Source organism: Homo sapiens, chromosome 5 (assembly GCF_000001405.40).
Source record: "Homo sapiens chromosome 5, GRCh38.p14 Primary Assembly".
Classification (NCBI taxonomy): Eukaryota; Metazoa; Chordata; class Mammalia; order Primates; family Hominidae; genus Homo; species Homo sapiens.
This window is the reverse complement of record NC_000005.10, coordinates 154,950,805-154,978,084: the sequence shown is the minus strand read 5'-3', so window position 1 is coordinate 154,978,084 and position 27,280 is coordinate 154,950,805. Positions and strand designations below refer to the sequence as shown.

General features: G+C 39.0%; 1 protein-coding gene across 2 annotated transcripts in view; it reads right to left on the bottom strand.

Annotated features, from left to right (window-relative positions):
• Positions 1 to 8,673: 8,673 nt before the first annotated feature.
• The window catches only part of MRPL22 (mitochondrial ribosomal protein L22), a 28,339-nt gene continuing 9,732 nt past the window's right edge, over positions 8,674 to 27,280 (bottom strand). The window contains exons 3-7 of one of the 2 annotated variants that reach the window (NM_014180.4): positions 27,147 to 27,264; positions 21,649 to 21,714; positions 20,873 to 20,950; positions 18,036 to 18,105; positions 8,674 to 11,399 (exon numbers count right to left, since the gene is read on the bottom strand). In NM_014180.4, coding sequence (NP_054899.2) covers positions 11,188 to 11,399; positions 18,036 to 18,105; positions 20,873 to 20,950; positions 21,649 to 21,714; positions 27,147 to 27,264 — 544 coding nt within the window. In that variant the 3' untranslated portion in view covers positions 8,674 to 11,187. The remainder of the gene's footprint in view (positions 11,400 to 18,035; positions 18,106 to 20,872; positions 20,951 to 21,648; positions 21,715 to 27,146; positions 27,265 to 27,280) is intronic. The other variant, NM_001014990.3, reaches the window with a different exon arrangement.

Here is a 27,280-nt window from a genome sequence, read left to right as displayed (position 1 = left end):
CCTCAGCCTTCTGAGTAGCTGGGACTACAGGCGCCTGTCACCACGCCCAGCTAATTTTTTGTATTTTAGTAGAGACGGGGTTTCACCATGTTGGCCAGGATGGTCTCAATCTCCTGACCTCGTGATCCACCCCCCTCGGCCTCCTGAAGTGCTAGGATTACAGGCGTGAGCCACGACGCCCAGCCTAGGAATTTAGGCTTTCATGTGAAAAGATGCTCAACATCACTAATCACTAGGGAAACGCAAGTCAAAGCCACAGTGAAATACCACTTCACACCCTTTAGGATGGCTAGTATTAAAATATAAATAAATACAAAGCATTGTCGAGATTGTGGAGGAAATGGAACCTTAGTGAATTGCTAGTGGGAATATTAAATGGTGCAGCCACCATGAGAACAGTATGGAGTTTCCTCAAAAAAAATTAAACACAGAATTATCACATGACTCAGCAATTCCACTGCTGAGTAAATACTAAAAAGAAGTGAAAGCAGTGACTCAAAGAGGTATTTGCACACCCATGTTCATAGCAGCAATATGCACAACAGCCAAAAGGGAGAAGCAGCCCAGGTGTCCATTGGCAGATGAATTGATAATGTGGTATATAAATATAATGGAATATTATTCAGCTTTAAAAAAGAAATTCTGGGCTGGGTGCAGTAGCTCACACCTATAATCCCAGGACTTTGGGAGGCTGAGGCAGGCGGATCACTTGAGGTCAGGAGTTCAAAACCTGCCTGGCCAACATGGTGAAACCCCGTCTCTACTAAAAATACAAAAATTAGCTGGGCATGGTGTTGGGTACTTGTAATCCCAGCTACTCGCGAGGCTGAGGCAGGAGAATCGCTTGAACCCGGGAGGCGGAGGTTGCAGTGAGCCGAGATCATGCCACCGCACTCCAGCCTGGGTAACAGAGGGAGACTCTGCCTCAAAGAAAAGAAATTCTGACACATGCCACAATATGGATGAATCTTGAAGACATTACGCCAAATGAAATAAGCCAGTCACAAAAGGACAAATTCCATTTATAACAGGTGCCTACAGTAGTCAAATACACAGAGACAGAAGTAGAATGGTGGTGGCCAGGGGTTCTTGGGAGGGGATATGAGGAGTTATTGTTTGATGGATACAGAGTTTCAGATGGGGAAGATTTAAAAGTTCTGGAGATGGATGGTGGTGATGGCTGCACAACAATGTAAATGTACTTACTGCCATAGAATTATACACTTTAAAGTGGCTGACATGGTATATTTTATGTGATGTGTAGTTTACCATAATCTTTGAAAAAAAATTCAGACTTTGGAGTCAAACCTGGGTTTAAATTCTGGCTCTGCTGCTTATTAGCTGTGTGACCTTAGACAAATTATTTAATTTATTTGAACATTAGGTTTCTCATTTGTTAAATGGAAACAATATTCAAGTATTCAAGCCAACAAGAAAGAATTGTTATGAGGAGGAAGCGCATACGTTTAGCAGAGTGCTGGACACATAGTGAGAGGTGAAGCCAGCTGGACTTCCTGGGTCGAGTGGGGACTTGGAGAACTTTTTTGTCTAGCTAAAGGTTTGTAAACACACCAATCAGCACTCTGTATCTAGCTAAAGGTTTGTAAATGCATCAATCAGCACTGTGTAAAAATGCACCAATCAGTGCTCTGTGTCTAGCTAAAGGTTTGTAAACACACCAGTCAGCACTCTGTAAAAACACACCGATCAGCACTCTGTGTCTAACTAAAGGTTTGTAAACGCACCAGTCAGCACTCTGTAAAAACGCACCAATCAGTGCTCTGTGTTTAGCTAAAGGTTTGTAAACGCACCAATCAGCACTCTGTAAAATGGACCAATCAGCGCTCTGTAAAATAGACCAATCAGCAGGATGTGGGCAGGGCCAAATAAGAATAAAAGCAGGCCACCCGAGCCAGCCGCGAAAACCCACTTGGGTCCCCTTCCACGGTGTGGAAGGTTTGTTCTTTTGCTCTTCATAATAAATCTTGCTGCTGCTCTCTCTTTGGGTCCACACCACCTTTATGAGCTGTAACACTCACCGCTAATGTTTGTGGCTTCACTCCTGAAGTCAGCGAGACCACGAACCCACCAGGAGGAGCGAGCAACTCCCGTTGCGCCACCTTTAAGAGCTGTAACACTCACTGCAAAGGTCTGCTGCTTCACTCCTGAAGTCAGCAAGACCAAGGAAGAAACTCTGGACACATCTGAACATCTGAAGGAACAAACTCCGGACACACCATCTTTAAGAACGGTAACACTCACTGCTAGGGTCCACGGCTTCATTCTTGAAGTCAGCGAGACCAAGAACCCACCGGAAGGAACCAATTCCGGACACAATAGTAGGCATTTGGTAATATTAGCAAGACTGTAAATGCCCAGAGACATGAAATAAGAGGCCATAGGTATTTATAGGTCATTTGGTATGGTTGAAGTATGTGGTAATGAGCATTGATGCTATAATGAAAAGCAGGTATTTGTAAGACAAGAAGTTTAAACTTTATCCTGACACCTGTGGAAAGCCACTGGAGGGTTTTAACAGTGCAGAAAAATACTAGAAAAGAGGGCAGAGAGGGGAGTAAAAATCAAGCTAAGGTTTTAGGGATGTAGAGGTCTGTACTTTTCACTTAGTCATGGGCTTGCAAATCCTCTCCATTAACACAGACAATCAACACTGTTGGCTTATGAGAAAACAAGTCATTAAGAGAAAAGCCACATTTAACACTCTCACTTTGCACCATCTTATCAGAGCAGGGAACTTCGACATAAAGAAATAACTAGGCCGAGAGCAGTGGCTCATGCCTGTAATCCCAGCACTTTGGGAGGCTGAGGCGGGTGGATCACCTCAGGTCAGGAGTTTGAGACCAGCCTGGCCAAAAATTAGATGGGTGTGGTGGTGCGCTCCTGTAGTCCCAGCTACTTGGGAGGCTGAGGCAGGAGAATCACTTGAACCCGGGAGACGGAGGTTGCAGTGAGCCGAGATCACGCCACTGCACTCCAGCCTGAGTAACAGAGCGAGACGAGAGAGAGAGAGAGAGAAAAGAAGGGAAAGAAAAGAAACTAGCCACATAGCAAAGTAATAAAGTCAGGTGAGGCTTAAGCATAAACTCCAAGAGACTTCTCGTTCTTTCTCTCCCACTTGAAATCACTGGGTGGAGGGTATAAGGGCTTCTCTTGCTTCTGTGACTTTACCAAGACTTCCTATTGTGTTCTCTACACCCTGCCTGTGCCAAGCTTTCTTCAGACTCTTAATATCTGTGATGAGCAGGGATGGGTCAGAAGACAGTTCTGCTCAGGTCACAACCTGCACATCCAAGGATGGCCTGTGCCACAATTTCATCATATTTCAACATTCTAATGTGGTCACATTTTCACCAGCATCCACTTAATGCCACTTAATCAGGTGCTTTCCCCTGGTTTTTCTCTCCACCTATAAAACTTAAGGTTTTATGTGAAAACTCAAGGTAATGATAGCTGCTAAAAACACATATTTCTCCTGAGTTAGCTGCATTCTTCCATTCCTGCTTCTGCTCACAGTACTCAAAGTGATATTTATTTTTAATTTTACTATTTTTTCTAATTACCTAGGTAATATATATTTCACTTAGAAAACATCAAAAATATAGAAAAACACACAAAGTAAAATTAAAGGTTGCCTGTAATCTTATCATTCAGATATATCTCTTAATACTCCTAAGATGTTCATCTTTTTCTTTATGGCTTCTGCCTTTGCTTTATAAAAAGCTTTCTCCATCCCAAGTCAGATAAATTTCACCCGTATGTGTTCATTTTTTATTAAACATCTCATATCTGCAACTTAAGTTCTTTTAAACTGGCCTTGATTTTAAAAGTTCAGAGTCTATTAACTTATGCTAAATCATGTGGCTGCTTTAGATGCCAGAGCATTGGATAGGGAATGGAAAATTGAACTGGGAAATGGGAGTAATTGATCTTCACCAATGGACCCAGCCTCTCTGTGGCTAAATTCCCCTGTGTGTAAAAATGCAGGAAATTACATTTGGACCCCAAATTTACTTTTTCCCTACTTTAAAATACATCATATACACAGAAGGCAGCACAGTGTCATGAACAATAATAAAACAAATGCCCACTAATCCACACATGGATTTTGACAGCATGTAACAATTTCCCTGATTTCTAATCCACTTAAAAAGTGGTGGCCCCTCTTTTTGTGCTCTGACAGTTAAGACAGTTTGCATAGCTCATCTCTCCTTGGAGGAACTTGTCTCTCTTTTGAATTAGCTTACTTGGTTGCCTCAGAAGCTATTCTTTCTTACGGGCTCAACAAAAGTAATGATTTTGTCATTTACCTGTCATTTTCATTGTTAGGGTGAGAGTGATGAGCTTTGCAGCTATATCCTAAGCAGAAGTGTAAGTATATTTCAATTCCACCTTTATCCTATATCAAATCTATATACTTGAGCCTGTCTGGGAGGCTACATAAGAATCATGCTGCTTTAATAATAAACCTTTCTTCCTAGCAATGTAAGTCACCCCTCAATCTTCCAAAATTTCTTCATCCCTTTATTAAGCTTCCCAGGTGACTTTAGAATTATATTCTCTAGTTAAAAAAATGCTTTTGACATTTTTATTAGAATTGAAGTGGTTGAATTCTTGAGTTATGCCATTCAAGAATGGGTATGCCCTATCATTTATTCCAGTCTTCTTTCAAATCCCTCAATAAAGTTTTACAGTTCTATTTCTATGGGTCCTGCCTACTTATGTAAGTTTGTTCCTAGATATTTTATATTTTAGTTTCTATTTTTAATACTTTTTAAAAATTATCTTTTCTTTTGAGTTGTTGATTTTGAAAGATAAGCTTTAGCTGGGCACAGTGGCATGTGCCTGTAGTCCTAGCTACTTGGGAAGCTGAGGTGAAGGGTTTGAGCCCCAGAGCTTGAGCCTGGGCAACAGAAACAGTGAGACCCCTGTCTCTTAAATAAGTGTGTGTGTGTGTGTGTGTGTGTGTGTGTGTGTGTGTGTGTGTGTGTGTGTATGGCATATTGATTTTGTAACCAACTGCCTTATTGAACTCTACTTACTTCAAATATTTTTTCTGTTTACTTTATTAGATTGCTAGATAGGCAATTATATGTAAATAATAATTTGCCTCCTCCTTTCCAAAGATTTTTCTCTTATTTCATTTGTTTTACTGTTTTGGCTAAACTTTCAGAAAATATTAAATGATCATGGATAGTCGGCATACTTGTCTTATACCTGAACTTAGCAGGAAACACCAGAGCTTCACTTTAAGTATGGTGATACCTGTGGCAAAAACAATAAATCAGCTTATTCAACAATTCCCTTCTCTTGCATTTGAGAAAGAAAAGAAAAGAGCAGCCCTTGACATTCAGAAGCTGGCCAGGCACTCACAGCTAGGCCATGCTGCCCTCTGTTGGACATAAACCATGTCACAGAATATCAAAGCCAGACAAAGTTACTCTGGGATCATGATTCAATGAAATAAGGCGAGTCCACACCATCATTTTGCTGAAGCTCAGAAAAAAATAAGTTCACTGTGCCCCTCACAAAATACCAAACATTCCTCTCTTGTGGCCAAAATGAGTAACTGTTAACTCTTTACCACTTACCCCTTTTTTTCACTCATTTACCCTCCTTGATAAAACTTGAGATAATCATATAATTGCACCTGCTTTCTAACAGCATCCAATTTAGAAAAAAATACCTGCTTTCTTAGCCCCTCCACAAATCACCCAACCAATGCCCAAATCCTATAATAGGTTCTAACACCTCTTATTGAGACACCCCATAGCTCCCCATGGTGTGTTTTCCCTCGCTGCAACAAGTAATAAACCCAACTTGTTCAACTAGAGTTGTATTTGTGGTGGTCTCTGACTGGAGGACATTGGCATGCTTTAGAAACCAGAAAACTAAAAAGTACATTTCTGTACTTACAACTAAGGTTCATTCATATAATATATGCCAGTCATTTATGCCCACACTGATTCAGAGATGGAAGAGAACAATGTGAGGAGGTGGTCACAGAGTAGGAGATTACAGATTCTATTATACCCAGACAGTACACAGGCATCTGGCCCTTTAGGAGCAGCTATGATGGAATCCTAGTCTTTCCACTAGAACAGCCCTATTGTAAGGAGGTATGGTTTTCTTCCTATGTCATCTGATTGCATTGTTCCTGGCTATGTAGCTTTAAAATCTAGTTCTTGGGCCACTTAGAAATTATTTGAGTGATCCAATACTCTTTTAATAATTTATTTTTGCTTACATTAGTCTTACAAGATGATGGAATGGGATGCTTGCTGCTTTAGCATGGTGTCTCCGACTGAGTTACCACTACAATAGGTGTCAGGATGCCAAAATGATTGTGAGAGCATCACTTCCAACTCCCAGATCTTACTCATCTTTCAGCCAATTCTAACCCACAACCCTACAGAGAAGAGGATTCTGAGAAATGTACTTCCAGGTTGGCTACGATACAGCACATTCCTACAAAGGATTCTTTTTTTTTTTTTTTTAACTACATAGGATTCTCAATCTTCTCTGTATGCCCTTTTCCCACATTGAATTTTTTCATTTGTATTTGATTGAATTCATAGGTCACGTCCACTTTAATGATCCTTTTTCCCCCAAAGAACCAAGAGTTAGGAGTGTTCAATTATCAAGTAGCTTGAATTATATTTAAACTTTTTTTAAAAAGGAACAAATTTCTAGTTTTAAGGCAGTATGATTTTAAAAAGTTATTTATATAGTTTCTATTTGAAAGAATCTATTAAGGTTCCTTTATGATAACCCTAGAATCAATTTCATAAATTTTTACAGCCATTTAAAAAGAATAGGTATTTTCTGTAGGGTACAAAGTTTGAAATATTTATCACACCTATTACTGTGTAACAAACTACCTCAAATCTCAATGGCTTAAACAATAAGCAGTTACTATTGTTCATGACTCTGTAAGTCAGTTTATAGTGGGTTTTCTCATCTCAACTGGGCTCATTCATGCTTCTATAGTCAGTTTTTCATGGGGTAGGCAGCTCTGTTGATGTGGGCTGGGCTCACTCACATGTTTAGGAGTTGGCTGGCTGGCTCTCAGTGGGTGATTCATTGCTCTCTTCCATGTGGTCTCTAGTCCTGCAGCAGGTTAGCTTAGGTTTGTTGACATGGCAGAAGCAAAGGTCCAGGAAAAAAAGAGGAAGCAAACAAGACCTCTGAGGCCTAGACTGAAAACTGGAAAACTCTCACTTCTGCTACTTTCTGTTGGCCAAAGAAGTCACAAAGCCAGCCCAGATTCAAAGACTCCACCTCTTAATAAGAGGAGATACAAAGTCACATTGCAAAGAGCATCAATATATGAAAAGAGTAAAGAACTGTGACCATTTAGATAAACAGTCAAATAGAAAAACCATTTAAATCAGTATTTCTTATATTGGGGTCCACTGTGGACACATGCAATTTACAAATGCTCTTCAGAAGACTTGTACATTTTCTCAAATTGACTGCATGTGTAAACAACCTTTTTAGGGTCATTTAACTTCTTCCTTAAATTGCACTTTGAAATTAATATTGCCATTCCTTCCTTTCCAAAGTAGAATTTGTATGAGCCTCCTTGGGCCATATGTGAAAATAATCATTCAAGTCCCTATTGGATATTTTTAAAAATTTTATTTTAGTGCACAAGTATAATTCATCTACCAATATTTCCTTGCTTTCATTCAAAGTATTTGTAATAGGCTGGTGCAGTGGCTCACACCTATAATCCCGGCACTTTGGGAGGCCGAGGTGGGAGGATCACTTGAGCCCAGGAGTTTGAGACCAGCCAGGGCAACATGGCAAAACCCCATCTCTACAAAAATACAAAAACTAGCCATGTGTGGTGGTGCACACCTATTCTCCCAGCTACTTGGGAGACTGAGGTGGGAGGATCACCTGAGCCTGGGAGGCTGAGGCTAAACTGAGCCATGATCGTGTCACTGCACTCCAGCCTGGGCAACAGATCAAGACCCTGTCTCTAAAATAGTAAGAATAAAATAAAATCCCTTAAGTTGACATTTTGATATCATAGCTTTTTACTGAACCATGTATTTGTTTTTACCCTTTCTCCTGACTGTATCTCTTTAAGTAAACCCCCAAAGAAGCAGTAACTATTTTTCAGAGCCCCCTGTCCCTCTGAATCCACAATAAATACTTTCAATGATAGATGTACAGTTGTCTTTCCCATCAGTCAGCTCTTTCAGGCAGGGGCCATATTTACTATGTTCACTGCCTGTATCTTCAGTACCATGTATATAATAGTTGCCCAATAAATTAGAGTTGAAAAAACAAAAGCTGACCTTTTTTTTTTTTAATCTATCATGATTACTTTTTGAGAAGAGAGATGGGGTAGTGACCGGGGGTGCAGGTAGGGGCTTCAGGGTTGCTATTTATGTTCTATTTCTTGTCTTAATGGGGGTTATTTGTACATGTTCATCAGCTGATCATAATTTGTGCTGTATACTTGCAATTGGTGTACTTTCTGAATGTGCTACACTCAAATGATGAAAATTTGGGTCTACAGTAATTCTTTGGAAAAGAAGGAAAGTACAAGCATTCAGAGATTGCCATTAAAGAATAACAGATAATGGCTTCTGAATGTATTAGTCCATTTTCACACCACTATAAAGAATACCCAAGATTGGGTAATTTATAAAGAAAAGACATTTAATTGTGTCAAAGTTCTGCATGGCTGGGGAGGCCTCAGGAAACTTACAATCATGGCAGAGGGTGAAGTAGGCACATTTTACATGGCAGCAGGCAAGACAGCGAGTGAAGAGGGAACTTTCAAACACTTATAAAACCATCAGATCTCATGAGAACCCACTCACTATCACGAGAACAGCATGGGGTACACCACACCCATCATCAATCACCTCCCTCCGTCACTAGGTGGGGATTACAGGTCCCTCCCTGGACACATGGGGATTACAATTTGAGATAAGATTGGGTGGGAACACAGAGCCAAACCATATCACTGAACATGCAAAGTGAAACTTCAGGTGGGGACCACAATGTTCATGGATGTTAGAAAGTACACTCTTAGCCACGAAAACTAGCCGGATGTCACAATGGGAAAGATTCATTGAGATAATGTATATATAGTGCTTAAAATAGTACCAGATACAGTCAGTGACACAGGTTAGCTATTATTACTTTTTGTAACGTACTGGAAGCAGTTCCAAATGAAGGCTTAACCTGGGAAGGAAATTTTCTTCATTACAATCCTACTTTTTCCTTACCACTTTCAAAATAGCTTTTACAGCCTGACTGAAGCAGTGCCTTCACTTACATAATTTATATTTATGATGTCCATGGCACCACCTGGCTTTAGTCACACCCAAGGAAGTCACAACTCCAAGAGCAATCGTGGAGCATCCCCACCACATGAGAGCACAGTGACCTGGTGTGATAATTCTCCAACATGCAAATCACTGGGGCATTTATTAAAACTGCAGGTTCCATGGTCTCCCACACCAAAGCTTCTGATTCACTTAGTCTGAGAGTAGAGCCCAGGAATTTGCATTTTTAAACAAATTCTTCAAGTGATTCTAAAAAAGGTTTTCTACAGAGAACATTGAGTCTCTTGTTTCATAAATGAATGAAATGGAGGCCAGCAAGGGAAGAGACCTATCCAGTCTTCTTTCTGGCTAATGAGAATGCACAGACTAGAATGAAGGTTACCTTTTAATATTCCAGTGTTATTTCCCTGACTCCATGCTACAACAGCTTAGGACCCAGAATGAATCTGTCCTACACCTTGGTTTATTCCACTGACCCCTGATGTCTTTTTACCCATGCATTAGGTTAACTGGAGAGACACAAAAACCCAGCTGTATACTCAAAAGGTATGCAGAACCAGCTACTTTAGAAACCTTTCAATCATAGCCCCAATATTTACATGCTGTGTGACTTGTGATAGTTATTTGAATTCTGTGTGCTTCGGTTTATTCCTTTGTAAAGTGGTAAAACAAAAGCTACATTTTCAGGATGTTGTGAAGAATTATGTAAAATACTAGCACAGAGCTTGCAAATAACAAGTTCCCAGTAAACAGTAACTATTATTAATGCCATCTTAAAACATGGCAATAAAACTACATTTTTTCATTCTCCTAAAGCCGTATTCTCAAAGCGTAGTCCCCTACAACAGAATTACCTGGAAGTGTTTGTTTAAAACATAGATTTCTGAAACCAGCCCCCCATAAGACCTAGTGAATTGAATCATTGGGGTGGGGCCCAGAAGTCTGCATTAACAAGCAAGCATCCTCGATTCTTCTTTTGCATGCAAAAGTTGGACTAGGGCTGTAGACAAAGAGTACTTCTTCTTAATGAAGACGTGTATGAATGAGAGGGAAGCAGTGTTGAACACTCTAATTTGAAACTAACAATTTTCTGCTAATAAAAGGTTGAGTGCCACCTACTGCCCCATTTTAGAATGCAATGCTGAGATTGGTTCAATTCCTCTCTCAGTAATTGAATTTACCCTGAAAAATAAATCAATCCTAAACAAGATATCCAAACAATATAAAGCACTGTTGGAAGAAGAAATAAAAACAGGCTTTGCTTAACCAAAAGAAAATTTTCAAAGTTAAAGGTTTTTGGAGTTTTAGATTCGTATATCTAATAAACTCCTGTAGTTTCGAGTTACTGCTAAAACAGTAAAGGAAAATATAATTTTTGACTCACTGGCCTGTGCCAACAGTGAAAGGAAAAACGGTACCACTGAACACCCTAAAATACTGTAATGAAACAACATGCAGCCACTCTAACTTCCCATGGTCCCAAGAGAAAATTAAGTGAAATAAAAGCAATTTTCTTACCTCATAACACTGTATTCAAGTCCAGTATCAAAACAGCCACCTGCAGGACACTAGTTGGAAAGTTAACATTCCCTTTCAAAGTTACTCCAAAAGCCTTTTGAAATATAGTCTGTTACTATGTTTAAAGCTGATTTCCCCTTCCAAGTCGCAAATGCATACAAATATGCCCAGAGGCTCAAAAGAAATGGGCAAAGCCTTATAAATATTCATTTACAACTAGCAGTTATACACTGTTTCAATAATTCAATGAGAAATCATAAAAAGCATTTGCCTTCAATTTTTGTTTATTTTTAGAAAATAAATGGCAAAATATATACACTGTGGAGTCTGAATCTCCTCATCATAGAGTGTGAACGATGGTCCGGCTGCGAAGCTGCTGAATATACTCTTTGGCATGGGCAACTGCCGTCTTTGGTGGCTCAGGTGGAGGTGGGGGCCCTTCCACCAACTTCACAAAATAATGGCAATAAACCTTCTCCATGATCCCAAAGCGACCTCTGCCATGGTAGCGGATGCGTTTCAGGCACTGGCCTCGTCCTGAGGTGGACTCAGCTAAACAGGAAGAAAAAGAGAATTACAGGAAATGAGTGTTATCCACAAGCCTGATCAGCTGAGCAATTTCTGTCCTTTCCTTGACTGGATTCTGAGATTACATGGGCTCACTGGTTGGCTAGAGCAGGCTTGTCTCAAAACAACTATCTCCTGAATGCTAACTAAGGACCAGGCACTATTCTAGTGTTGGAGAAGTAAGAGTGCACAAGACTGGCAAGGCCCCTGCCTCCAAGCAGTTTACATTCTGGAGAAGAAAGACGTAAAATAAAATGATAATTTCAGCTAGTGACAAGTGCTGTGAATAAATCAGAATGAGATGACAGACAATGATGGGGTGTAAGGGACTTCAGACTGGGAGTGTCAAGAGGCATCCCTGAGAAAGAGACATTTGATCTAAGAGCAGAATGAATCATCTATTTGAATATCTAGGGACAGGGTATTCCAGGCAGAGGAAACAGCAAGTGCAAAGGCCCAATGGTGGGAATGCACTCGGCTTGTTTTAGGAAAAGAAAGAAGACTACCATGCTGAAGCATAGTAAGCAAGGGGAAGAGAAGCACAAACAAGGAAAAGAGATTAGAGATAAAGCTAGGGCAAGATTACACAAGGTCCTGTAGGCTCAGGCAAGGAGTTTTTTATTTTATTCTAATTGTGATGAGAAGCCACTGGAGTCAATGGCTCCCAAATGCTGGTTCTCTGACAAGCTACATCAGACTAACCTAGGGAATGTAATTAAAATGCAGATGCTGAGACCTCACCTCTGTGGATTCTAATTCAGTATATCTGGGGTGGGCCTTGGAAATTACATCCTGGGCAAACACCCGTACCCCAACTCTCCCCAGAAATTCTGACTGACAGCCAGTTTTAGGAACTCTGGCACAACGGCCCCTTCAGCTCCCCTCCCCCATTCTGTATATCAAAATTTGACCTTGAAAGTGTAAAGAAATCTTTTAAATAGCATGTAAGGGCCAGGCGCGGTGGCTCACACCTGTAATCTCAGCACTTTGGGAGGCCAAGGCGGGCGGATCACCACAAGGTCAGGAGTTTAACCTTGGCCAACATAGTGAAACCCCATCTCCATTAAAAATACAAAAAATTAGCCAGTTGTGGTGGTGGGCACCTGTAATCCTAGCTACTTGGGAGGCTGAGGCAAGAGAATCGCTTGAACCCGAGAGGCAGAGGTTGCAGCGAGCCAAGATCCACCACTGCACACCAGCCCGGGTGACAGTGCAAGACTCCATCTCAAAAAAAAAAAAAAAATAGTACATAAGAAGAACTGTTCACCTGTTCACCCACAATAAGTCAGAGTAGTAGCCATCTACCTTCTACTATTTTCTGAATGTATTTAGTCAGCTACTTGTTTAGTTAATAAGCCTTTTAAAAAGGTAAAATCTACAGAATACATATCAAATTATCCATTTCAACACTCATCATTCTTATACACTTACTGTGACATACTTTATAAATATAGGGACTATACCAAAGTATGCACTTGACAACTCTCTAACTACGATATCCTCTAGTGAAGTGGGTTTCAGCAGAAGCTTCCTAGCTTTGCCAAAGAGAAAGCCAAGAATGAAAGTGAAAACTGCCTAGGGTCTAAGTGAGATAGGGAAAGACCTACTGCCCTTTTATTAACTTCATTTAGTGGGCACTGAAAAAATGAGTTTACAAATTTCCAGAGAAAGCAGCATTACACAAATCACTTTATAAGGAAACCCCATCACGGCGCGTCCCCTGGATCAACCTGTCTAGAGGAAACCTACAAATAAGAACAGTGAGACCAGAAAACTTCTAAAAAGCATTTTACAAATGTGATAGCTGCTTCTATCCAAAATCATTTCTCTATCCAACTTGAGCACCAATTTCCAAATACTCAATGGATCACTAGATCACAATGATCAACCCCATCACGGTCTACGTCGGCTCCCATTTCCCTTCTATCTCCCCCAAAACACAAACTTACAGAGATCTGCACAAAAGCAGAAGCTCAATGCCTGCTAACTGTCAGTCATGATTTCATCTTAAAGCCATAAAAGATCATCTGCATATCTTAAAGCCATGATGCCATCATTTCTTTATGTCAAAACAAAAACATTAATTTTTCTGAAACATCCTAAGATTCTTTAATACACCGTAATGGGAATACCCAACACAGCCACCCTGAGGTGTAAATGAAATCAGGACTTAGAACATAGTTGCCAAACTGTTTCCTGGTTCCTCTCCTCCAATCTCTCCTCCACTAAGTCCATATTTAGGGGTTTCAAACTGCTTTTGTATATGGAATCATTTCAAGTAAAATGAAACAATATGTAGAAGCCTGATATATATAACACTGTAATGCTGATCTGCTCCTATTGAAACGTGGGTCAAGGAAGACCCAAAACTCTGCCATTCATTCACTCAACAAACATTTTTTAGTTCCTCCTGGGTACCAGGCTCTGTCCTGGGCTCCAAGGATATAGTGGTGACCAAGATATCAAGGGTCCCACTGCTAAACACCCCACAGAGCACAATTTCAAAACTACCGCTTATTGTTAATACTTTTAAAACACTATCTTAATAACATAAATCTCTTACCCAAACCTCTTTGATATAGTTTGAACCAAATACACAGCCTGCCATGTTCAGTTCTCTGGAATATAGGCCCAATCTACCCTTCCCATTTTATCTACTCGAGGTCAAACTTCTACTTCCTTCACACTGTTCTCCTCATTGTACTACACTATTACTGCTTATTCCAACCTATGTGCCTCTGCATGTATGGCCACCCCACTTTAAAAATCTGCTCTTCTCCTGGAAGAGCATTCCTCCAGACTCCCAAAAGCCTATCTTCACATGCCAATTTTTTCTAGAAAGTCTCCACGACTATTCTAACCCATATTGACCTTTTCTTCTCTACTCCAACAATACCATTTGTCTGTATTACTCTTTTTGGTCCCAAATCATATGCTGTCTTTATAAGCATCTGTGTTTCATCTGTAAAAGTCACCTCCTCAACCAAACTTATACCCTTTTTGTATTGCCCCAAAAGTTCATGATCCATAGAAACAGAAATAATTTTGAAATACATCATCTGCTACTTAATATCATTTTTTCAATACAGAGGTCTCTGGTAAATCTGCTCAAATTCTGAAATAAGTTTCAAAGTTTTTCAAGTACATATAATATTAATGGTATACACAGTATTATTATACTTCAGAAGAACAATGTATGCATTCTTCCAAAGAAATACTACTGTCAAAGAACTACAAGTGTTAAATGTTTTAAAATGACACAAAAGATATAACATCACCTATTTAATGTGGATAGTATGCACACAGAAAGTACTCAAATACTTTTTGAATGAAAGAATACATTAAGATATCTCAAAAATGAAGACAACCTGTGTTTTTCTATAGATAATACCCAATAGGTGTAATGAATTTAAAATATTGCCAATATTTTCAGGGCAGGCACAGTGGCTCACGCCTGTAATCCCAAAATCTTGGGAGGCCGAGGCAGGTGGATCACCTGAGGTCAGGAGTTCGAGACCAGCCTGGCCAACATAGTGAAACCTCATCTCTACTAAAAATACAAAAATTAGCTGGGTGTGGTGATGCATGCCTGTAGTCCCAGCTACTCGGGAGGCTGAGGCACAAGAATTGCTTCAACCCTGGAGGCAGAGGTTGCAGTGAGCTGAGATCGCACCACTACACTCTAGCCTGGGTGCAGAGTGAGACTCCGTCTCAAAATAAATAAATAAGTAAGTAAATATATATACACACAGCAAATATTTCCTATTAGTAGTATTTAGGTAAATACAAATCTTGAAATTGTAACATTAGAAGCCCTCCGCTCCCACCTTCATCACTCTCAGCCAATAAGATTGATGTACAAGGTCAGTTGATCACTTTCCCTAAAGTGATTCACTTTAGATGCCATGAATCACTAAGCAGAGACATTTTATTAGTCCCTGTCCACTTGTTAAGGCCTATTCACAGTATCATTAGTCATCACTATAAGTTTGAAAGGGAAGTGAACTTTCTAAATCTGTGGTCATGCAACACCAGGTATTAGCTTTACACCAATGACAGGCATTTGAAAGAGTTACCATATAATGAGAACATATGCTATCAAAAAAGCACTTCCTTTAAAATGCCTATACTTATTTCAGGGTACTGAAAGAACCATTGCTGAACCAAAATAGTAGCCAATAAGTAACTAGTTTTTCAAAACTCTAACAGAAGTCTATGGAATGAAATGTCTAGGCCTTTTCCAAGAACACAGTAAGATAAATCAGTTTCCCATATTTTATGGTTAAGAATCAATAGTTTATTAAACAACTGATTATTATTAACTTGTTTATTAAATAAACAGCTTCCTAGGCCTCTCCACTGGGGTTTCAAGTCCAGTGGGTCTGTGCCGAGGCCTGGGAATCTATATTTTAAATAACAACCTCAAGATGATTCTTAAGAAGCAGCTTGGCAAATACAGGGATAAAATGTCTGACACATCATACTCTTCCTGAGGGAACTCATCTCTTTTGATTATGGAATTAGGCATCAAAATACTTAGTGAATGAAAAATTTTAAAAATCATAATGTAAATCCAAATTTATTAGCCTTACTTAAGTCATCAACACAGAAGTAGATGAAAAGACAGTACAGGTAAGGCAGAGATTTTTCAGCAGAAATGTGCAAAAGAACTCTGGATTAAAGGGTCAGACAATGTGGCTTATGCCCGTAATCCTAACACTTTGGGAGGCTGAGGCAGTAGGACTGCTTGAAGCCAGGAGTTCAAGACCAGCATAGGCATCTAAGCGAGACCTCTGTCTCTACAAAAAATTTTAAAATTAGCTAAGTGTGCTCGTACGTGCCTCTAGTCCCAGCTACTCAGGAGGCTGGGGCAGGAAGATGACTTGAGACCAGGAGTTCAAAGCTGCAGTGAGCTGTGATCACACCACTGCACTCCAGCCTGAGTGACAGAGCAAGTCCTCATCTCCAAAAATAAAAAAAGATAAAATAAAGGGTCATTTATGTAGGATTGGTTAAGCATGTTTTTGCTTAATGGCAACAGTGGACCCTGCTCCTTCATTTGGAGCAACAGGATTAAGCTCTTTATCCTATCTCTCTTTACTATAATTATTGAAAAGGATTTAAAGACAGTTATTGAAAAAGGCTTAAAGACAAATCATATTTCATTTGTATCTGAAGTCCATTAGAAAGTCTATCAGCTACGAATCTCACATCCCTGTGAAACTGCATAAAATTAATTAAATTTGATTTGATATTCAGAGTCACAGAGCAGGAAGAATCACCAAGAGGTTTTAAGCAAATGGTCTTGCTCCTCATCCCTTCCAATGGTTCCAAGACCTCTCCAACATTATTTATTCATAATGCTCCCAGAAGAAAATGCTTATGATTAACTACCATGGCCCTGCATCTTGGGTTGCCATTTTGATTTCCCTTTGCATCTTTGCATGTATCAAAATAAAATTATACAAGATTCAGCTTTAAAATAAAGCATTTCAACTGAAAATCAACTAATTTGAATTTCAGGAGGTGTGGTGGCCAACATCAATGCCAGGTGAGTTGAACTGAGATTTTAACCTAATCAGCACAGAGGCTATGTGAAAAAGTAGAATTTAGATAATTTTTTTTTTACTCTAATTGTTGAAAAATTATAAAATACAACTAATTCCCCCTGTATTGATTCAGCCCTTTCTCCTCCATCTGGAGAGTAGATGTTCCCCATATCTTGAATTTAAAATAGCTTTAAGTAAAATAATCTTTATATGTTGGTATGGCAGATTGAGAAAACTTTGCTTCAACATCAACATCTTTGTTTGAATATAAAACTGCTGAGGTTAGGAGTAATTGCTGTAGTGAGAAAAAAATAATAACTCCAACCACTGCTCCACTTTCCCATGGTGTTGGGAGGAGGCAAGAGAGCTTTGTAATAAACATTAATCTCCTTCTCAGAAAATAACTGTGTGACGGTCTGCAGCAAAAAGATTCCTTACATTTGTACAGCACATCATGCTTCCCAAAGCATTTTAACTTATATTAATTTAATTTGATGTGGAACAAGCATGTAAAAGCAGAGCTAATGCTTCAGGATGTAGTAACAAAGTGGAACAAACACATCTGGGTCATCTGAGCCTTCCAAGGCCCCTTGGCTTTTACAATTCAACAGACCTTCCATTTTGATAACTGTAAGGTTAAATTACAGGACACCTTTATGGATTAGGCATCTGGCTTGGCACATTATAAATAAAAATTTTTTAAATGCACCTGTGATTATTTACCTCCTTCTGGTTGACAAACAACTTTAAAAATGTGTTAATACTATTTGTTATAATATTACAATTAAAGTACCACTCTATGTACCCCAGTCTTGGTATCTATTATTTAATAATTATTAGCAATTGGCTTTATGATCTCAGTCTCACTACAGAACAGGTAAAACAGTACAGTTATTGTCATTTACACTAAATTAAAATTGGCATGCATACAGCTGAAGAATAAGCCATTACTAGCAATTTTCACTGACAAACCAAGTCCTGAGGAGTTAGATATTAAAGACTGTTGTTAGATAAAAAACATGGCATTACTACTGAAGACATTTTCTAATGCTAAGAATATTAAAAATCTTACCTATATATAAATTGGACCTGAATTCCACGTTATGGTCTCTCACTGCCATATCTTGTGCTTCTAAGAGAACCTTAAATAAGAAAAAGAAAAGCATTTATACGGCTAAACCTGAAGTAAAATGGAATTAAGTTTCTCATCTCTCATTATCTCTGTACTATGACTGCTAATCACATGCTTCCATAGTCAATTTTAAAAAGACAATATCAAATGATAAGAGTACAAAGGAGAAGGGAGCTTTCCTGCCTTAGACCAAGAAGTGTAAATGCATAGAACACAGCCCATCCTACTAAGTTTTAAATGACATGTGTAAGCTATAAAGGAGATAGCGGTGCTTGTAAGCAGTACCCTTGGGAAGGAACATTATGTCTTTGAGTCAGAAACTTGTCAAAAAGTTCCCAAGGCCAGATGCAGTGGTTCACATGTCCATGGTCCCAGTACTTCGGGAGGCCAAGATGGGATGGGCAGACCACATGAGGCCAGGAGTTTGAGACCAGCCTGGCAAACATGTCAAAACCCCGCCTCTACTAAAAACACAAAAATCAGCCAGGTGTGGTAACACATACCTCTAATCCTAGCTATGTGGAAGGCTGAGGCTGGAGGATCACTTGAACCCAGGAGGTGGAGGCTGCAGTGAGCCAAGATTGTACCACTGCACTCCAGCCTGGGCAACAGAGACCCTATCTTAAAAAACAAACACGAAGTTCATGAAACTCAATAGCTTAATCTTACTGAAAAGTCTTAGCTGGGATGGTGGCTCATGCTTATAATCCCAGCACTTTGGGAGGCTGAGGCAGGAGGATCCCTTGAGGCCAGGAGTTCGAGACCAGCCCATCTCTACAAAAGTGAAAAATTTGCTGGACGTGGTGGCACACACCTGCAGTTCCAGCTATTTGGGAAGCTGAAGGACGAAAATCCCTTGAGCTCAGGAAGTTAAAGCTGCAGTGAGCTGTGATCATGCCACTATACTCCAGCCCTGGGCAATGGAGTGACACCCTGCCTCTAAAAAAACAAAAATCTAATTAAAAACTAGAATAAAATAAAAATTCTTAAACTTTGGATGCAAATAACCATTAACATCAGACAAGTAGAGAAAATCACACTTGATATAATAATTTCCTTGAAGAGGTTAATTATCAAATTTACTCTCCATAGATATTTTGAATTAACTTCCTCCAGAACACATTTTTGTAAAAATATGACAATTGGGCCAGGCATAGTGGCTCTCGCCTGTAATCCCAGCACTTTGGCAGGCCGAGGTGGGCAGATCATGAGGTCAAGAGATTGAGACCATCCTGGCCAACATGGTGAAATCCCATCTCTACTAAAAATACAAAAATATTAGCTGGACGTGGTGGCACACATCTGTAGTCCCAGCTACTCGGTAGGCTGAGGTAGTAGAATCGCTTGAACCCAGGAGGTGGAGTTTACAGTGAGCGGAGATGGCGCCACTGTACTCCAGCCTGGGCGACAGGGCGAGGCTCCATCTCAAAAAAAAAAAAAAAAAAAAAAAAGACAATTGTCAGAAATAACAGAAACCAAATCTTTCACGCCTTAAAAGATAAAGAATGTAGTACAAGGCTGGGTACACAACAAACACTTGTAAATGCATTCTGAATTGAATATAGCAAAATCAAAGCATTACAAAGGAACCCTTTAGAAGTCTGAATCTATCAATCTCAACTATTTACCTATTACTACTAAACTGAAAGGTATGAACTGACTTTTGGTGAGAATTAACTGAATATATAGAAAACAATGCTGATAGCCCCAGATGGTAACGGACAATAATCAATACAACTTTTTGAAAAAAGAATATTAAAAAAGAAAAATAGGCCAGGCGCGGTGGCTCACGCCTGTAATCCCAGCACTTTGGGAGGCTGAGGTGGGCGGATCGCCTGAGGTCAGGAGTTCAAGACCAGCCTGGCCAATATGGTGAAATCCCATCTCTACTAAAAATACAAAAATATTAGCCGCGTATGGTGGCGCGCAGCTGTAGTCCCAGCTACTCGGGAGGCTGAGGCAGAAGAATCGCTTGAACGCAGGAGGCGGAGACTGCAGTGAGCCAAGATGGCGCCACTGCACCCCAGCCTGTGCAACAGAGCTAGACTCCGTCTCAAAAAAAAAAAAAAAAAAAAGAAAAATATATGTAATAAAAAAAGAATATTCATGTTCCTAGAAAGAGTCACCACAATTACCATCAGCACATTTGTATCTAGTGAATTAGCTACATTTAGAGTTGGAAGGATCTTTAGGGGTCATCTAATCCAATTCCACATAGTTTAGGTGAGAAAAATAGAAACTGACTGGTTAAGTGTCTTGCCCACGGTCACAAGAAAAAGATCAGAGAAAGGACTAGAGTCCAAGTCTCTTGAGTTCCAGTCCAGGGCTCTTTCCATTTAGTTACAAAATTACTTAGTTATAAAAACTCTCCTTTATAGGAAAAAAAAAATCTTCAAAAAAATATACCTTGAAGTTCAGCCTTGCTCCAAGAAATAAATTATATACACAAACACACATACATACACACAAATACACACATATACGTACCAAGCCCCAAATCATTAAAAATAAGATTCATCACATCATAAGCAGTAAAAAACAGATAAATATTTGGTGGAAATAAAAGCACCTCAGGAAATAAACCCTAAAGCACACAACATTCCTAAAGTATACACATATTTAATAAACTGAGAACCCTAAATCTGTATTATATAAAGTATGCATTTACAACAGAAAATTTAGGGAATTCATGATTTAGGCTAAGCTTACTAATAATTGCAAGACAGCTGCATTCCCCAGTTCCCCATTCCCTACCACACCCAAACTTGTAAGTTTACCTCTTTAATTATTTTGGCCCCTTTTTTGTCATTGAATTCCAACTGAGCCAAAGCCTGGTCAATAGACATTCCTCGTATCTAGAATTAAAGGGTGAGAGACAAAAGAAAATAAATTAGTTTACAAAGTCAATGTTTCCTTTTCAATGAAAGTCTTACATAATTTGAGTAACTTCTAAAAACAGTGAATTGAACCCAAATAAAAGAGAAGAAAACAAGTTTGAGAGGAGACACTATTCTCTTTCAGTCAAAATGAAACAAACATTTTAACCATAAAACTGAGATTATAATAGTTTCAATAACATTAAAAGACAGCAAACATGACAGAGAGACCACAGGTTGGTAACAACCACACTAGGCATTCAAGGCATCTCCTTCTCCTATAGGATAAATGTATTACATGTATATTTGCTGCTTCAGTCTCCCCTCATCTATAAATTTCATTTCCTAGGGAAAAAAACTTAAAAGCAACAGTTTTAAAACAGGTTGAATCAAGTTTACAGATAAATAGGTGGGTTTCCTGGATTCTCTGGTTATAGCCAAACTCCTGATGCCTTTTAGTATCTATCTATCCAATGTGATTTAGTTTCTCAGAAAAAGGTGAAAATTAAGGAAAATCATACATCTCTGAACAATCATTCTTTTGACAACCTACCAATTATATCACATTCCTCACAAATCTTTTTTATTTTTCAAATCCTGGGGTGAGGGGTGGGGAGGGGAACTCATAGCTTCTTTCCTAAATTATTAATTATATGGTAATAGTCATTGCAGCTTACCAATTTTGCCAAATACCACATCTTGTCTTTGCTATATTTTATTTGTCTTCGACAGTGGTAGATTTCCTTACAAATTGGAAAAAAAAGGACAGAAAGAAAATGTTAGCAGGTTTACCACAAAATGACAATAACATATACTGTTATTTAAGTTTTTACTTTCTAGGCCTAAAGAAAATGCTGCCATAAGAAATAGAAACATTACTAAGAATTTAGAGATTATTTTCCCCTACACAAAGTTGTATTTTTCCAAAGTCTCACTATGTTAAAAGATTACTACGGGAGAAATAGAAACTATACAATGGCTGGTTTGTGTCAACACTTGCAACATTTCTATCCAAAGAAATCCTAAAAGATTTAAATGAAAGTATCTTTAAAACATTTAGCTGATTAAAAGAACAAAAGAAAAAGTACAAGAAAACGTTCATTATTAATGAGGAGAAAAATGGCAAAATGGACAAGTGTTTTCATGTGAAAAGCCAATATTCTAGGTGTTTGGCCAACAGCATAGGTTCTAGAATCAGACTGCCTGCCTGGATTTGAATCCTAACTCTGCCATTTACTAGCTACATAATCTTGAGCAAGCTACTTAACCTCTCTCTAATTTTCCTCTTCTGTAAAATAAATAAAACGATAATTAGAGGGAAATAAAGTAACCTATTTCAAGAAACCATTTTATAGTGCTTGGCACATGGTAACTTCTCAGTAAATGTTAGCTTTTATTATCTTCTATTTAAAGTTGTAGGTATGTCCTGTTTAATTACAATGTATAGTTCAAAAAGCACTTTTCACTCATTATTTCATTTAGTCTAACTCTATGAGTTGAGGGATGAAACATTTTACATATAAACTGAAAATCAGAGAAATCAAGTGACTTGTCTAAGACCAGAGGTTTGCAAGAGACAAAGTTGGAATTCAAAGAACAGAGAAGTATGATACACCTGATACAATGTCTAGCACATCTACTTTCAAAAGTTCCTCTATTGACTCTAAAACCCACTTTCTTTCCACTACTATACCAAACTGCCATTTAAAAAAAAATTAGAAAACATGTGTTATGGAAAACTATAGCAAGGAGGTCTCAAAACTTTCTAACATTCTGACTCCTGCTGGAAATTTTCAAATGCCTTAGAAAGAGCAGTTTTCTCAAGTGGCCATCTTTTAATATGTGGCAGATTTCAGTTGCAATAGAAGCAGACAGCCTGAAACTATAGCAATAGCCTAATTACATTTTCAGCAATAAAGTTTCTTGGGGAGACAGGGAGAGGAAAGAACTATCATGACTGATAATAATAATCTGCAAAAATTAATCCACTCAATGAAATCTTTCATATAGAAGAGACCCTTGGCCGGGAGCAGTGGCTCAGCCTGTAATCCCAGCACTTTGGGAGGCCGAGGCGGCCGGATCACAAGGTCAGGAGATCGAGACCATCCTGTGAATGGTGAAACCCCGTCTCTACTAAAAATACAAAAAAAAAAAATTAGCCGGGCATGGTGGCCGGCGCCTGTGGTCCCAGCTACCCGGGAGGCTGAGGCGGGAGAATGCCATGAACCCGGGAGGTGGAGCTTGTAGTGAGCTGAGATTGCGCCACTGCACTCCAGCCTGGGCGACAGAGCGAGACTCCGTCTCAAAAAAATAAAAATAAAAAAGAAGAGACCCTTTAATTTGTGCATTCTTGTGGTGGGATAATTTTAAACCTTAATTTTGTATGATTACCCTCAAATTTTACACATATAAACAATGGTAATCCTGACCAGAGGATGGCAAAAAGGAAGAAGTGTTTACAAGAAAGGCAAAAGTTAATCATCCTCTTCCAAAACTGAAAAAAAACCTCAGCATTTACTTTGGGCAGGTGAAATGTCTAAGGGCACTTTCTAAAGATAAACGAGACAAAGTCTCAGTACGTATCAAGCAAATAAAGTAACAAAGGTGGAGGTCAGAAGACCTAGTTATATATCTCTGCCATTAACTGACCTATACAGCAAATTAGATAAAGTGAGGATAGGATACGTAAAATAGTTATTCAAATGAAATAAATGTATGTCTAAATTATAAAATGTCTAAATCAATAACTTTTAAATAAATCAATTTATTTTTAAATGCATATAATAATTCAAATGAGGAAAAAGTGTTACCTAATAAAATTTCTGGCCAGGCGCTGTGGCTCATGCCTGTAATCCCAGCACTTTGGGAGGCCGAGGCAGGAAGATTGCTTGAGCCCCGGAGTTTGAGACCAGCCTGGGCAACATGACAAAAACTCGTCTCTACTAAAAATACAAAAATTAGCTGGGAGTGGTGGCACATACCTGTGGTCCCAGCTACTCAGGAGGCTGAGGTGGGAAGATCTCTTAAGCCCAGGAGGTCAAGGCTATAGTGAGCCATGACTGCACAACTGTGCTCTAGCCTGGGCAACAGAGTGAGACCCTGTCTCAAAAAAAAAAAAAAAAGTTTTAGGCCAGGTGCGGTGGCTCACATCTGTAATCCCAACACTTTGGGAGGCCAAGGTGGGTGGAACACTTGATGCCAGGAGTTGGAGACCAGCCCGGACCACACAGAGAAACCCCATCTCTACTAAAAATACAAAATTAGCCGGGCGTGGTGGCACACACCTGTAATCCCAGCTACTTGGGAGGCTGAGGCACAAGAATAGCTTGAGTCCAGGAGGTGGAGGCTGCAGTGAGCCGAGATCATGCTACTGCACTCCAGCCTGGGCAACAGAGCTAGACCCTGTCTCAAAAAAAAAAAAAAAAAAAAAAAGTTCTTACTAGAGCTTTATGAGATTCAGATTCACATTAAGGTATTATTATCAGTATGCTGACTAATCCATAAATTAAAAATACGTCTCATATAGAAACGGTTGTTGGGGGAGTGAAGAAAAAGAGGAAAAATAAGAAATGGTAGCTCAAAGAGTTTTGACCCAGTCTCATTACACTTTTCATTTATTTAACATAGCTTTTTTTCAAAGATACTGCAAAAGGAAACTGAAGCCCAAATTAACAAGGTGTGACTATCATAAAGAAAGCCATTTAATTTCTCTCTGGCTCATTTTCTTTTTTTTTTTTTTTTTTTTTTTTTTCTCCTGAGACGGAGTCTCGCTCTGTCACCCAGGCTGAAGTAGTGCAGTGGTGCGATCTCAGCTCACTGCAACCTCTGCCTCCCAGGTTCAAGTGATTCTCCTGCCTCAGCCTCCCAGTAGCTGGGACTACAGGTGTGCACCACCACACCCGGCTAATTTTTGTATTTTTAGTAGAAATGTGACTTCACCATATTGGCCAGCTGGGCTTGAACTCCTGACCTTGTGATATGCCCACCTCAGCCTCCCAAAGTGCTGGGATTACAGGCATGAACCACCACACCCAGCCTTCACTGTCTTCATATGAAGCCCCATATAAGATAAAATCTACATAAGAATCTATATTCTTTGGAAATTGGTGCTAGCTAAACTACGAAGTTAGTCTTAAAAATATGAGGAGTAGCCTAGAACAACTCTACATTGGTAACATTCATTTTTATTTACTGCTACGGGTTTTGCTCACTATCCCATCCACTGTTATTTATTGACTATATATTCTAATGCAGAAGATCAGAATTAGGTAGAATGGTAGATATTATCTGGCCCTCTTTTCAGCTAGAGATAAAACTAATTTTAATAATGGCTGCAGCTGGCAGATTGGAAATTCTAAGGGACATTGTATATTATAGCGCAGTATTATGAACTATATGGCCAGTGAATAAATTATTTCTGGTAAGTTAGGTATTTATGAAGGGTATCGGTATTCCCAGTCATAACAGGTACAACTGATGTACCAATATTAAATTACTAAATACTATTTAAAGTCAGAAAATGTTCATATTTCCCAGATGTCATAATTTGTCCCCCAAAGGATTACTGAAACAAAATCTGTGCAAAATAGAGAAATTAAGGTTTTCCAAAGTACCTATATCAAATCAAATTAAATGTCTTCCCACAGGCACTTGTATAAGAAGGATAAATGATACAAAAAAGTTAATCAAAATAGTTTCATTAAATATAACACACAACAAATTACTGTATTGATAGTGTTCATCATTTGCTAGAGTTAAGCAGATGACATACTACTAACTATTTGAATTTTGCCACTTGGGATATATCCTAAAGTACATTTTTTTAGTATCTAAAGATACTAAACAAAACAAACACATAACAAAATTGTGCTGTTATAGATTCTGGACTTGACAAATACTGTTGTAATTTATTTCCAATTAATACCTGATTTCAGGCCGGGCACGATGGCTCACGCCTGTAATCCCAGCACTTTGGGAGGCCGAGGCAGGCGGATCATGAGGTCAGGAGATCGAGACCATCCTGGCTAACACGATGAAACCCCGTCTCTACTAAAAATACAAAAAATTAGCCGGGATGGTGGCAGGCGCCTGTAGTCCCAGCTAGTCGGGAGGCTGAGACAGGAGAATGGCGTGAACCCGGGAGGCAGAGTTTGCAGTAAGCCAAGATTGCACCACTGCACTCCAGCCTGGGCGACAGAGGGAGACTCCATCTCAAAAAAAAAAAAAAAAAATACGTGATTTCAAAGAGCTCAGGTAAGAAGCAAAAAAAGTTCATTAGTTACAGAAAAATTTTTATTTATGATATTTGTGCAATTGTGTAACGTTTCATTTAGTCAATTTTGGTTAATTACAAAATGGAGACCAGCCTGGCCAACATGGTGAAACCCCATCTCTACTAAAAATACAAAAATTAGCTGGTCATCGTGGCGGGCACCTGTAATCCCAGCTACTCCGGAGGCTCAGGCAGAAGAATCCCTTGAACCCGGGAGGCGAAGGCTGCAGTGAGTCAAGATCGTGCCATTGCACTCCAGCTGGGTGACAGAGCAAGACTCTGTCTCAAAAATAATAATAATAATAAAATAAAATAAACAAAATGGAGTCAATACTTAATAGCCTATACTGACAAATCTTTCAAGTTGTGATGTCATGACAAAATATGAAAGTTGAAAAGTTATTTGTTTATTCTGTGCAGATAACGATAAGATAAATCTCCAGTAGGAACCCAATGATTAAGTTCAAACTTTAGGTTCAAATTGCAAAACAAACAAACAAACAAACAAACAAAAAACAGTGTGTCTATATTCAAATATATAACACTGGAAAATCATATACATAATTTAAACATTGGCCAATAGTTTAAGTCATTCTTGCCAACTCCACATGCTCCATCATTAAGAGCTCATCAGCAAGCCTCTCAGAGTCAAAAATCAGTATGTCTTAAACTATTAGCTTAGTTTTAGAGTTAAGGTCCCTATCCAGGAGGTTAAGTAAAGACAAATAAGTAAAGAATAACAATCTTTTTCAACTATTGAAGAGATAAATCTAGTACATCTTCTCTGTCAATTAGAGTGAATGGTTGTATAATTTTTTTAACACAGAATAATAAATCATTACTAATCACTTAAGAGTAAGAGCACTACCACAATTAAGAGATTAGTTCTACCCACGAACTTACTGCTGGTCTCCGAGGTTCTCCAGGCAGTTGTGGAGGATAAACAATTTTATTCTTCTTCTCCCATTTTCGAGAAATGTCAAGAGAAGCACTTGTGTGGATATATGATTGAGGTAAAACACTGTGAAATGAAAGAA